General features: G+C 47.4%; 1 protein-coding gene across 1 annotated transcript in view, besides 2 other annotated features; it reads right to left on the minus strand.

The window, feature by feature from the left end:
- The window catches only part of ADARB2 (adenosine deaminase RNA specific B2 (inactive)), a 560,213-nt gene that overhangs the window by 10,337 nt on the left and 536,167 nt on the right, over window positions 1–13,709 (minus strand). Inside the window, exon 8 of the mRNA NM_018702.4 lies at window positions 12,317–12,498. Coding sequence (NP_061172.1) covers window positions 12,317–12,498 — 182 coding nt within the window. The remainder of the gene's footprint in view (window positions 1–12,316; window positions 12,499–13,709) is intronic.
- Window positions 1,395–2,594: an enhancer, noted in NCBI's record as "CDK7 strongly-dependent group 2 enhancer chr10:1234984-1236183 (GRCh37/hg19 assembly coordinates)". NCBI's record gives its function as "activates an origin of replication core promoter dependent on BRD2, BRD4, P300/CBP, MED14 and CDK7 cofactors, with strong dependence on CDK7, by STARR-seq in HCT116 cells {active_cell/tissue: HCT116}" and the evidence as "EXISTENCE:reporter gene assay evidence [ECO:0000049][PMID:35650434]".
- Window positions 3,440–3,939: an enhancer, noted in NCBI's record as "H3K4me1 hESC enhancer chr10:1237029-1237528 (GRCh37/hg19 assembly coordinates)". NCBI's record gives its function as "activates a minimal SCP1, AML or CMV promoter by ChIP-STARR-seq in primed H9 embryonic stem cells {active_cell/tissue: H9 hESC(primed)}" and the evidence as "EXISTENCE:reporter gene assay evidence [ECO:0000049][PMID:30033119]".

Below are 13,709 nucleotides of genomic sequence, written 5' to 3' on the forward strand. Positions count from 1 at the left end.
CTCCCAACGCTCCTGGCTGCCAGGCATGACGAGGCCCAAACACCACCGGGAAGGCAGCTGTGAGGACGTGGGTGTGAACCCAGCACGTGCACTGCTCCACACTCCGGGGACAGAAGGAAGGAGCTGGTGGGGCAGCGAGGGAGGCGCTGGCGGGTGGGCTGCGGGGTCGTCCAGCCTTGCATGGGGGCTTCTTCTCACCAGGGTGTGGTCCCATGTGTCCATATGTGCACAGGGAGGACAGTGTCTGCTGTAAATAACATCTCAGCTCACCTGTGATGACGTAAATCACACTGTAAATCATTCAGTTCTAACTACAACAGCCCCGCAGGCTACTGTTTAACATAGAAAGTGGTGTAAACCCAGGAGCAATCTTCAATATCCAAGCCTGTCCATGACCCCGGAGGTGGAAAATGCACCCCAGGGGCCTCTCCCACTGACCAGGAACCAGGTGGCTGGAGTTCCAGGCAGTTTGAGTTCTGTGGCCCGAGGTCATCCTCCACTTACCGCTCTGTGACAGGTGACTTCTCTACTTCACGAGGTGATGTGAAGATCAAACCAGGCAAATAAGAGCACTTTTGGAGCACCCAGGCTATGAATGCTGCTGTTTTCATCTGAAGGAGGATTTGAAGGCCAACTGCAGTTTGTTTCGTGTTCTCCAAGTCACACAGATCAAAAATGTTTCTAGTTAGATCACAGGGAACATTTCCAACTTAGTTACAATCACCTAATTGTGTCCAGGGAACGGAGGAACCGACCAACAAGCAAAGGTCAGTTCCTTGTTCCTTTCACGGAAAACACATTCTGTTCCCTTTATTTGTCCTCTGCAGGGGACAGGACCATGTGCTTACGCTTTGAGCTTCTAGGGAAGGGTCTGCTCCCCTCTGTGTTCTGCTGGCAAAAGAAAAACTTCCCAAGGCAGCCTGGAAGAATAGCAGTCCTTTTTTTTTTTTTCTTCTACCTTCTTGTCTTTTTTTTTTTTAATAAACCTTCCATAGAGAGATAGTGTTGGGATGTTTCCTGAATACTCACACAGGCAGTAGTTTCTGACATCGCTGTGACTAATATCTGCAGCTGATCATGCCCGTGGAGCGGGAACCACGGCCCAGATCCCTGGAGTCTAATGTGCAGAGAAACGGATGCTCATGGATGCTCATGTCAGTCTCACTATTAGGTTTGCCGTTAATGACTCTTTCCATGGAACAGATCCCTTATGGTGAGAGGAAGTGCAGTCAGGAGCGGGCTGCTTGCTCTGAGGAACCAGAAGTTTCCTTCTCCAGTGCGGCCAGCAGCCAGGCCCTCTTCCCACGCTGGGGCCCAGCCCTCCCGCACCAGGTGCCCAGGCTCCAGGAGGGCCATCTCTTCCTCACCGACATGGAAGGGCCATGGCCTCGTGCGCTTTCACTCTCTTTCCATTTCCCCGCAGCCTGAGTCACCCTCAAGGAGGTAACTCCCTGTCCTGGGATGTCTCCTGAGGACACTCCAGCATTGGGACATCAGGTCACTCCAGGCTCTTCCTTTCTTTGTTTTATTTATTTTGGCCTGGGGGAGCCACTTGGTTTCTCAGGAGCCTTCTGCTCATGTGTGAATGATCTCTCATGGTGCACTGATTTTATAATTTTCCACCAGTTTCCCAGGTGCCGTACAAAGACATGCAGAGCCTTCTGGGAGCTGGTCCAGTTGCTTGCTCATGGTGTTCCTGTCGAGCACCTTCCTGGCCGTGGAGAAGTGGGTTTCGAAAGGGTTGAAGGTGTTAGGGCTAAACTTTAACTCAGCTGGATTGCATTGCTAGCGGTAGTTGTGGATAGAGCCAGACAAGGTGAAGACACATGTGCTCAGGCCTAGAAATGAAAGCCTGGCTTGTGTTTAATTTTAACTCCTGTGGCTGGAAATGTGAAAATGCATTAACTCCTGGCTCATTCCTCCTGAAGTGGGCATCGGCTGATTGAAGACGGAACTCGAGTCCCAAGGACAGAGGGTGTCTGCAGCTGCAGGGGCACCTACTCAGGCCTGTCCCACCCTGTTCCTCAAGATAACACAGCAGCACATACCTGGTGACCCAGTCCACCCAGAACACATGGCCCTACCTCCTTCCCCAGAACACGTGGCGCTACCTCCTTCCCCAGAACACGTGGCGCTACCTCCTTCCCCAGAACACGTGGCGCTACCTCCTTCCCCAGAACACGTGGCGCTACCTCCTTCCCCAGAACACGTGGCGCTACCTCCTTCCCCAGAACACGTGGCGCTACCTCCTTCCCCAGAACACGTGGCGCTACCTCCTTCCCCCGAACACGTGGCGCTACCTCCTTCCCCAGTTCACAGCACAAAATGTCTCCTGGAGGGGATTCAGGGAATCTCCAGCAGTGAAAGGTGCCAACAGACCTGTGGCGATTGAGGGACAGAGCCTGTGTCGTCTGAACTCAGAAAACGTGAGCATCAGGCCAGCTGAGCTCCAAGGAGAAATGCGTCCTCCTGAGAAATTGCACGCAGGAGTCTGAACTCAGAAAACATGAGCATCAGCAGCTGAGCTCCGAGGAGAAACGCGTCCTCCCAAGAAATTGCACACAGATACCCCAGTGCTGTGGACAAACACGTACACGTGCTTGCACAGGGGTCCCACGCTTCTCACTCTGCAGGCCGCCCTGTGAGGCCAAAATTCCTGTGAACCTCTGGCATCCAGAAGCTACAACAAATCCAAATTAACCCTGTGGAACACTTCTGTGATGCACCTCCTGCCTTCGGTGTATGGCAACACAGGAACGATACTGTGTATTCTAATGTGGTTTCCACATGCACAGAAAATTGTACTTTTGTAGGCTGTATTTGTTTTAGGTGATTGCTGTAACACATTGCTACATGTGTTGGCTTAAAAGAGCAGAAATCTGTCCTGTCGTAGCTCTGGAGGCTGGAAGTCTGAAGGTGTGGGCAGGGCTGTACCTCCTTCAGAGGCTCTGGAGAGACCCCTTCTTGACTCTCCCAGCCTCTGCTCAATCCCAGGCTTCCTGGCTTGTAGCGGCTTCACTCCCATCTCTGCCTGCATCCTCACCGGCTTCTCTGCATGTGCCATATCTCCCCCGCCTCCCTCTTCTAAGGACAGAGGTGGCTGCAGGCAGGACCCACTGAGATAATTCAGATCATCTTCCATCTCACGATCCTTAGTTTACTCACATCTGCAAAGACCCCTTTTTTCAGACAAGGTAATTTACAGGTCAGGGATTAGGACTTGGCATCGGTGGGGGCCATTATCCAGCCCACTGGGAGTGAACTTCGGGACTGGTCTAAGGACGGAGTGAGCAGCGCTCTTCCGGAGGAGGGGCAGCCCCACGCTCTGGGCCCCACACTTCGCAGAACAGGGGTTTGCACGCTCTGGGCCCCACACTCTGCAGAATGGGGGTTTGCACACTCTGGGCCCCACACTGAGTAGAATGGGGGTTTGCACGCTCTGGGCCCCACACTCCGCAGAATGGGGGTTTGCACACTCTGGGCCCCACACGGCGTAGAACAGGGGTTTGCAGGTGGCAGCTCATGGGCTACTTCTCCCCGCATCTGTTTCTTTCCCTCTGGACCTTCTGTGTGTGATGAGGACCAGCGGGGCTCACGGTCCAGGAGGGTGGGGGGCCAGGGCTGCCCAGAGAGCAGTTCTGTGCCACTGGCTGGATGTGCAGAGCAACCTGGGGATGCACGGGGCACCCGGCACGTGCACCTGCTGAGTGAGGGTGGCCTCCGTTGGGTAGGACCTTGGATTTGAAAATCTGTGTAGGAAGCCCAAGGAAGGGTGAGGAAAAAAGGTGTCCCTGAAACACTGTGTAGCCTGGTGGTGAGCAGGGTCGGGCCCCACGTTTTTTTAGTAATTGCTCCCAAGCGGCCTTGGGAATAACGCCCTCGCTACCTGAGCAGCTTCTCCCTGAGCCGTCTGTAATGGAACCACGCTCACAGACGCTTGTTAAACCTGGTACGTAACTCAGGGATGTGTTGCATTTATTAATTTGTAAATATACCATGCAGCATATGGGCCATTCATCTCTGAGAACATTTTTTAGGGAGCTGTCTTATTTCAGAGTAGATCTGTATAGGAATAAGCTGGTCTCCCGGAGCCTTTGACATGAATATTCTGCCAGGTTGTCTGGTGTACAGAGATCAGCCTGATGAGATTGTGTGACCTTTTTGCTAAACACACACAATCGTGTTAACAGTGGGCTCTGGCAGCAGAGCAAAGCTGGACTCACTTCTGTGACATACTGGCAGTGTGGCTTCCGACAAGTGAATTAACCACTCCTACCAGCACTGCTTCAACTACCACCGTGATCAGCACAACCACTGCTGTTACATCACCATTACTAGGACCGGTGGGGGTGAATCCACAACTCATCTATGAAAGTGAGTTTTACTGTGGCTCGCGGAGCTATAAAAAGATGCCTGACTTGAAGAAAATCCTTATTTACCTTTTTAAAAAGGCATTATGTAAGTGAGACGTTACAGCATTTCTTCAAAGTGAGCCTACTATATTTACAAGGTAACTTACTTTCCCAAAATTAAATTTACACAAGACATCTCAGGAGTATAATTTTTACATGCAGTGAGGCAAGTCTGTGTCACTGGGTAGCACTGCATTTAATTTTGCAGAGTGAATGAAATAGCATGGCATCTGGGCCTGCACAGATTCATAAAGCTAAAGGAATCAGAGAGATCTCCTGAGTTTTCTATATGGCCAGACACGCTGCGGGGTCTTTCTCTCTCTCACGCACACCCACACACCCTTAATGGAAGAGCTGGTAAATTTAATGTGGACTTATGGATTTGGGGTAACTAACTTCTAAGGCTGTATTAATGCCGTTTTATTCATTATCATTGATATGAATGTCTTTATAATTGCCAGTAATTTTATAGCTGCTGTCTTGCTTTGATACAGCACATTTATAAGAAACATAAAAAGTACTATGGAGGCTGGAGATGGTAGGGTTAACTGAGGATGGACAGCTGGTTCTTTCTGCTGTGAGATAGTCCTAAAAACTTCTGTGGGTTCGGCCTGGCACGGTGGCTTACGCCTGTAATCCAGCACTTTGGGAGGCCAAGGCAGGTGGATCATGAGCCATGACCACCCTGGCTAACACGGTGAAATCCTGTCTCTATTAAAAATACAAAAAAAAATTAGCCAGCCTGGTGGCGGGTGCCTGTAGTCCCAGCTACTTGGGAGTCTGAGGCAGGAGAATGGCGTGAACCCGGGAGGCAGAGGTTGCAGTGAGCCGAGATCGCGCCACTGCATTCCCGCCTGGGTGACAGAGCGAGACTCCGTCTCAAAAGAAAGAAAATTCTGTGGATTCCTGCAAGCCAGAAGGGAATATGAATGTTGAAAACACAGAGGCCATGGTGGCTTTTCCTCGCCTTCCCTCATGTGACTGGTTTGAGGTGGAGGTGTTGAGGGTGGAAGGCAGGCATCTGCAGGGTGTGGAACGGGCCACGCTGGCTGCACCGTCTGTGAATGTCCCGGGTGCAAGTTCTGCTGGGACAGCAGTGATGTCCGGGGATGCCAAGGCCTGGGCGGTGTCCTCTCAGGAGGGTTTGTGCCTCCACTGATCTCCAGGAACTTTATTCCTAAGAGACCACCGAGGAGTCGGGAGGATGGACGACCGCTCAGGTTCCCCCGAGGTTAAAGTGCAGAGGCTCACAGGAGGCTTCAGAAGATGTGAAATTTCCATGGCAGAGGAAAGAATCTGCATTTTTCATTTTTCAGCCTGATAATGACATGACTTTTGGCTTCTGTAAGGATTGTCATTATTTCAAAAGATATGGGACAAAGGGACTTTGGGGGAATGGGGTCTTTTGCTGTTCCAAATTATGTATTTTTGTGCCCTAGTACTCAAAATGTAGTAATATGCCAGGTTTCAAACTGGATAAAAGTGTGGCTGGTTTTCATTGCTCTTCAGTCGGCATTACTCATTTGAGATTGTTTTTCTTAAGCCCAGATAACACATGGAGTGTTTTCTGGAGAGTGAGTCCACCATAGTTAGACTCTGTCAGTGTTTGTCTGCAAACGCTGTCTCACCTTCGTTTTTGAAGGATGCTTTTTCTTGATATCAGATCGTAAGTTGAGATTGTTTTTCTATCAGCATTTTAAAGATGCCATTTCATTGTTTTTTTGTCTTCTGAGAATCAGTTACCAGTCTGATTTAGCTCCTTTGAAGTGAGTTTGTCTTTCATTTCCTGACTGCTTTTAAGATTTTTTTGGTCTCTGTTTTTCAGCAATTTAACCACTGAGATGAGAATTAAAAAAAGTTATTCTTGGGGTACAATGTGCTTTTCAAATCTGCATTTGGATGCTTTTTGTTTGTCTTGGAAATTCTTAGTTGTGATCTCTTTAAATATCTCTCCTGTTCCATTACTTTTTCTGGAACTCTTATTACATGCATTCAGACTTTCCTGCTCTCTTCACTCTCTTTTGTACTTTCTGTGTGTGATGGTTCATTTTATGTGTCCCCTTGGCTAGGCTGTAGCACCCAACTAGATTAACTGCGAGATTAACCAGCAGTCCCAGGTATTGCTGGGAAGGCACATTCAACGCGATTAACATTTAACTCATTCGACTTTGAATAGAGCAGGTTATGCTCTGCAACATGGCTGGGCTTCGTCCAATCTGCTGAAGGCCTGAAGAGCAAAGACTCAGGTTCTGTGAAGAGAAATAAATTGTGCCTCCACATGGCTTGTGGACTCTAGACGTGCCACTGCCACTCCTGCTGAAACTTCCAGCTTGCCGGCCTGCCCTGTGCATTTTAGACTTGCCAGCCTACACGATTGCATGAGCTGATTTCTTAAAATAAATATCTATCAATCTCTATCTGTCATCTATCTATCATCTATCATCTATCTATTATCTATCTATCTAATCTATCTATCTGTCTGTCTGTCAGTCTATCATCTATCTATTCATCCATCCTCCATATATCATTTCTGCCTTCTGTGCTGCATTCTGGATGTTTTCTTCAGAACTGTGCTCCCATTTATTAATTCTCTCATGTGCTGTGTTTATTTGGTATTGAACCATCCTCTGTTAAACAAATTATTTTATTTTCTGTATTTCTGAAATTCCTATTTGGTTCTGTTTTTTTCTGAGCTTTCATCTCTCCCCCTAAGTGTTCCATCTTGCTTTAGAAAATGTCCTTTCTCCTATTGAGCGTGGTCATATTAGGGTCTGTGTCTGAAACTCCAACTGGAGTGTCTGTCCTGCTGCCTGTTGTTTCTTCTGCATTTGGGTTTTATCTCCTGTGTCTGCTTGTTTTTTGTGTGTGGCAATATTCTATTTATAATTTTTTGTAGAGTTATTTTGATCTAATGAGTAAGAGGACCATCTTAATTTAAGTCAGGAGTGGAGACCATTTCAAGCTATAAACACTGTAAGGGGCTGTTTGCCTTGAGCCCACCTTGGCCCTGGGAGGCAGGCCGACCCGCCCCCTTAGCCTCCCGTGGGTGCTGAAGCACCTCTCAGCCCTTCAGCTTCTCAGGGACTCTTACAGGAAAATCTCCCCTCCCATCCCTGTCCTTCCCCAGGTCCTGGCTTGGCAACTCTTCCCTCTCCTGTTCACTCTTGTGGCACTCTCCTTGGTGCCACCAAGGAGAATTGCAGGTGCCCCTGCCAACATCTCCCACCATCCTCAGGGTTTGTGGTGCAGTCCCATGGGGAGTGGGATTCTCCAGCTTTACAGAACCTTCAGGGAACCATCATTCAGTATCTGTCAATGCTGTACACAGTTTTTTTTTTGTTTTTTTTTTTTTTAAGATAAGGGTCTTTAGTCCCTTGTTAAGTTTTATGACTGGCAAACATTTCTCTCTCAGAATGGCAGAGTTTTGCAGGCCTGGGTGGGAGAGCACATCTAGGCAGAGACGACGTTGAAAGGTTTTCATGCCAGAGAAAGCTCAGAGTTTTGACTCCAGGGGTGTGGCTGTGAGCAATGAGGGATGTCCATGGAGAGGCTGATCCTGGTTCAGAAGAATTGGGATGGTGCTATCAGCCTGAGGCTTCTGAATCCATGGAGAGGCTGATCCTGGTTCAGAAGAAGAGGGATGGTGCTCTTAGCCCGAGGCTTCTGAAGGGAGGTATGGCTCACTGCAGCAGGGTGAGGCTTTCTAGCCCCCGAGCCAGCAAAGCACAGTGGGGAGAGTCTGGCATCCTAAGATGATGGTGGGGGCCAGTTGGCTTTTATGGCACCGTCCTAGTCTGTGCTTTTCCCGTTAGCCCTGTGACCACCTTCGTAACCCCACTGAATCGAGGCCCATGTGATTGTTTCAGGTCTGGGGAACCAAACAGCAGCCTGAAACCAGCTGGAATCTTCCCTTGGTGAGAAGGGAGAGGAAGCCCGCTGCAGCCTTTCCAGAGTGCCTCTCTCTCCCGTCCGCTTACCTCACACTCTCAGCCCAACCCTGCCTGTTTCCCAAAACCCTGTGGGAGCCCTTCTCCCAGCTCCATTCCCTCATTCCTCTAGGACTCTGCGCAGTGTCACCGCCACACTGAGAGTGCTCCTGATCCTTTTATTAGGGCTGAGGGTCACTTTTTAATCCTTCTTTTGCCTTTTTTTTTTTTTTTTTTTGACAAAGCACTCATATTTTGTTTGTCCGTCTCCCCTACTGGAATGCAATCACCCTGAGGTATGGATTTTTGACTATTTTGTTCACTGCTCTATTCTCAATGTAGGATTGTGCCCGGCACTTTGTAAATCATCAATACACATTTGCTGAATGATTAAGCAAATGCCTGGATTATGCTGATCAATTTCTCGATGTTGGATACATTTAATGTATTGACAATGGAAGTATTTTCCTGGAGTTAATGATACAATTCTCAGGAGCAATGTAATTAAGTTCGTTGCTTAAATTCTACTGGGAAACAATTCCTTAAGATCATGGTGGAAATTAAATGAAAATTAATTATTATACAAAATATTTTTAAAAGGATTCTCCAGAAAATGAAAACAAAGTTTTTCAATAATTTTATATTTATCATAAGCTATGTGCCATCTAATTTGCCTAGAAAGTTCTGTGCTAATCTATAAAAATGTCTTATTAAGTAGTTCTTTGTTGAATTTAACTTTTTTAGTTTTCATGAAAAGATATTAGGATTTCTTTTCTTTCTTTCTTTTTTCTTTCTGTAGACATGGGGTCTGGCTATGTTGGCCAGGCTGGTCTCAAACTCCTGGCCTCAAGTGATCCTCCCACCTCAGCCTTCCAAAGTGCTCGGATTACAGGCATGAGCCACCACGCTTAGCTAAGACTGCCTTTTAGATTGTTCTAGCAAGATTTATAATTTTTTCCACCAAAAATTCCTGCAAGGGCATGGGAAGATAAATTTCTAGCTCTAGTGACTGTAAGAAACAGCAGGCTGCTAAAATATTTCTGTAATGCTTATGTGTTTATTACTAAACATTTGTAAAAATTTTGTAGGTTACTCCAAAATAGACCTCTGTTTAATGTAAAAATAATATTGCAAATCACTTACCATCTGGATAAAATATTTGCTACTGCTTCACTATGTTATTTTGCAAAATACTCTTAATTATCATTAATTTCAGAAATTTCTCCTGAATTAAAGAGGTCTGATACTCCATAGAATTTTCCTCAACTTAGTGTGACAACATTTTGAAAATCTGGACTCATAAAAAAAATGGACATAAATGGCAACAGAGAGAGACTTTGAATGCCAAAAATAGGTGGCATTGGGAAATTTCAGAAGCTATTAGTATTGGTACACATTTCAGTACATATGTGACTTCACATTTCAGTACGTATCTAACTTCTTTTCTGACAAATGGTTTTGCTGTGAAACATGGATGCCTGAAAGGGCTTCAGACGCCCCAGCTGGCCCTTTTCACACTCCAGGAAATTGTGTGCTGTGGAGGAAGACAGCCCGTGCTCTCCTCTATTTTATCACCAGCACTGCAATGTTCATCACGTGAACATAAACCAAGAGTCTTAAACAAGTCATGGTTCTAACAATCAATTCTCTGGGTCCATCTCTCAGATTTCATGTTCGTTGCCAAGACCTTGAGGTGGGCTGTAAAAATAATCACAGTTTTATCTTCAGTGTGGACTAAGAAATTAATCATTGACAACATATCTGTTTAACATGCTGTTAACACAAACAGCGAATTTATCCTACCCAGATTTCTTTTTTTCTTGATGAAGAGAAATAAAAATTTAGCCTTGATGTTGAAAGCTCAGAGAAGCATATATCCTCAGCTTGGTGGAACAGCCTGTCAAAGTGGCTATTTCATCTCACTTTTTCCTAAAAGGATGATTATTCAAAGCATAGAGTTTTATTAATTACTATCCCCATCATTTTGTTCATCTTACTGAATTCACTGAGAAGGACCAAGGGCAAACTCCTTTAGGCTATCTGTACTCAGGAAATAATGCAACTTTTGCTGAAGGATTCAGCGTTTGAGACATCCTCGAAATGGGCTTCTGGTCCTGAAGTTTTGCCATAGATTTAGACTGGAAAGTGCAGAATTTTTCAAGTATATCCTTCAAGAACATTACTATGCATCCCGTGACTGTGTGAGTAAGGGTATCTTTTTCAGCTTGGTTGCTTCTTTTTAACTCAGAGCTGATTTAGCCATATCTAAATTGCTGGGCCTCATTCTGCTAATACATAATCTTCATCTTCTAAGGCAGTTCTGCAAACTGACCTTGAGGGAAGCTTCAAGCAAACTTCATTTGCTTATTTGAGGGTGCTTTTTATTATTATCCCTGTGCAAGATCTCTCTCTCTCTTTCTTTTGGTGCAAGAAATTCTGATGATTTCTTTTCAAAATTTGCATGATTGGTTTTTAAATGTCCATCAGGAACAATGCAGGGACAGCTTAGGGGTTGCATGCAGGCAAGGTACCAAGATTTAGGCTCATTTGCATCTGCAAAATAATGAAAACCAGATTCCCAATAAGCATGTAAATGGAGGCTGAAATATTTAGTCAGGCTGCACCGGCCGTGGTGTGGCAGGTGCCACCTGGGATCGGAAGCAGACAGGTGTCTCTCGGGCTTGGCTATTATCTGTGCCACTCAATGATGTCAGGTGGATCTGAATTTCTCTAATTGCGTTTTCTAAAATTCACTGTGTTCACACTTAGGATTGGACATTCCTGTTTTTATTTATGTTGACATGTTCCCAGATGGACACATGATTGAAAATCAGCACTGGGAGACTGGCTGCTGAGGGTGACATGCCAGTGCCCAGGGAGGGCAAAACCTGCTCCGTTGACGGTGGCTTGGGGAGGGCGTGGTTGCATTTGTACTCCATATTTCCTTGTGCTGCGCAAGCTTAAATAAGCCCTTCAGTAGGTGCTGGACAAAGAGCGGGGATGGCCTAAGGAAAACGCGCAGAAAAAGAGTGCAGGAGCCACTTGGCAAACAGGTGAAAATCCTCTCCTTTCTGGGGCAGAGGTTTTCTCCGTTTCCCCCACATATCTGCCTGATTCTGCCACAGGCAGGCCCTTCAGAGAGCTCTCCCACTCCAGCAAGGGAGGCTGACTCAAAGACCTGGTGTTCTGCAGGCCCAGCATGAGGCTGGCGGTGATTCGGAAACCCACCCCCCCGCTTCCCGCTGTTCCTGTGAAAGGCCAGGAGTCGCCTCCTGTCAGTGTGTCCTTCACAAAACCCTCCCAAGACCACTCCCGGGGCTTTCTAGGGCACCTCGCAGCTGCCAAGGGACTCTTCATCCTTGCAGCTGGCTGTGTGCCAGGCAGCCCGGGCAGGCCCCAGGTAACGTGGGGAAGTAGAGGCTTGGGGAGGCTCGGGTCTCTGAGGACATCTGGGCTGTGGGGAATCCTGGTGCGAAGCCGGCCCAGTACTCGCGGAGTAACCTGGCAGCCTCTGGAGGGTGTGGAGGGCCCGGGGCCCTGGGTTCCGAAGACCCGCTCTGGCCACGTGACCTTGGCGCCCCCCGCCCCTCCTCGCCCACCTGGCTCTTCCTCAGCATCGCCTCCTGTGGGCGGCCAGGTGGGCAGGTGGGCAGGTGGGCGGCCAGGTGGGCAGGTGGGGCCTCTTGGGTGAGCCCAACACTAGTGATTCTGTTTTCAGAACTCCTTCAGACACCGCTGTGAAAACAGCACCATCACACAATCACGAATTCACATCAGGACCTGGCCTATTGCTATATGCAGAGAGATGCTGAAACCTTTCATTTTTTCTTTTTAAAATCGTAGGACTTTGCCCATTAAATCCTAAATTGCCACTAGCCAACATGGATGAAGTCTGCGAGGGATGGCACCGCCGGGCACACCTGTGTCTGGCCTGGTGGTGGGAAGGAGGTGGAGGGCCCCCGGGAAGGGGGTTCTTACCGCTGAGGAGAGGCCGGTTGTGCCGGTAGGAGGCGGGCAGCTGGCCGACACCCTCCATGCGGTGGCTCATGACGCGTGCGAGGTGGCCCGTGTGGTGCAGGCTGCCCACCACGATGCTCTGCAGGTACACGGGCTCCACGAAGTGGGACAGGAGCGCGCCCTGCAGCCCCAGGACGTTCCACCTGTGGGGAGAGCCAGCAGTCAGCGGAGCCCCACCCAGGAGCCCAGGGAGCCTGGTCCTCTCTGTCCGTCTGCGGCCTGGTCCTGAGGACCTGTCAGTCTTCCCATCGTGCGGACCTTGGGGAGCTCCCTGGGAGTGCCCCAGACCCAACCCAGCCATCACTGGGGCTCTGGGGACACTGTTGCCTGGGACTGGGCTCCACAGGCCCATGTGTGCTAACAAATGCTGCTCTCTTTTCTGAAAATGAGTCGTTAGAGTGGAAACTGTTATGTTCTCTGTGGGACTTAGAATTAGATTTTTTTAAAAAGATACTCTGTCCCAAAAGTGAATCTGAATTTTTCTTTATATTAGCTGGGAAATACTATAAATGGAATTTGTTTATTTTAGTTTAGGGAAAAATACTTAGTACTCCCTTTGTCCTTAGCAGTCAAAATGACCTATTGTGTTGAAATTACATTAACAAATGACCTTGTTTTGGTCTGGGCATGATTTTGGTTTCAGAAGCCCAGATTGGAGATGAACAACAAGGCCATTTTGTTTGAAATAAATATAGCTCTGGGTGAATGTTTTTGCTTCCTCAAGCAAAAATGCCAAGAGCACTGACATTTTTTCCCCTTAAATTTGGGTGGCAAGAGGTTCCATGTGTGTGTTTTTTGAAGCAACATTCTATGGTTTCCACTCTAAATAATGTGCTTAAAATCCTACCTCCTTCAGCAGCAAGCGTTACGTAGCTAATTTCTTACATCATTGTTCTTTTCATTAATTAACATTTCTCCACTGTTAGAGCAATTACTGCCATCCCCGCATGCAGCGTCTCTTTTCATGATTAATAAGGAGTCATTACATTTCCCTTCCCGAAGCAGTCAATTAACACAGGATTCTTTCCATTAATTACCGAATCTACCTGGAGAGTAATCTTCTCCGAGAACCCGTGATACCAATTGCTTTAAAAAGTTCTCTTTAAATTTTATTCCAAAAACACAAGCAATTTAGCCAGCGATATTAATTTGCCTCAGAAGCATCTCCATGAATGAGAAACATCTTTTAATCTCATGCAAGAAAAGGCAGCCATCTGGCTGGTGGGGGTTTCGGGGAGCCGCTCTCCCTCTCTCCCTCTGCAAATGCAGGTCATTAAAGTAATGTGCTCATCTACATAAAACTCAAATGGAATATAAAAGGTAATATTTATATACAAACAATTTAGTCCTACAA

This window comes from Homo sapiens, chromosome 10, assembly GCF_000001405.40.
Source record: "Homo sapiens chromosome 10, GRCh38.p14 Primary Assembly".
Lineage (NCBI taxonomy): Eukaryota > Metazoa > Chordata > Mammalia > Primates > Hominidae > Homo > Homo sapiens.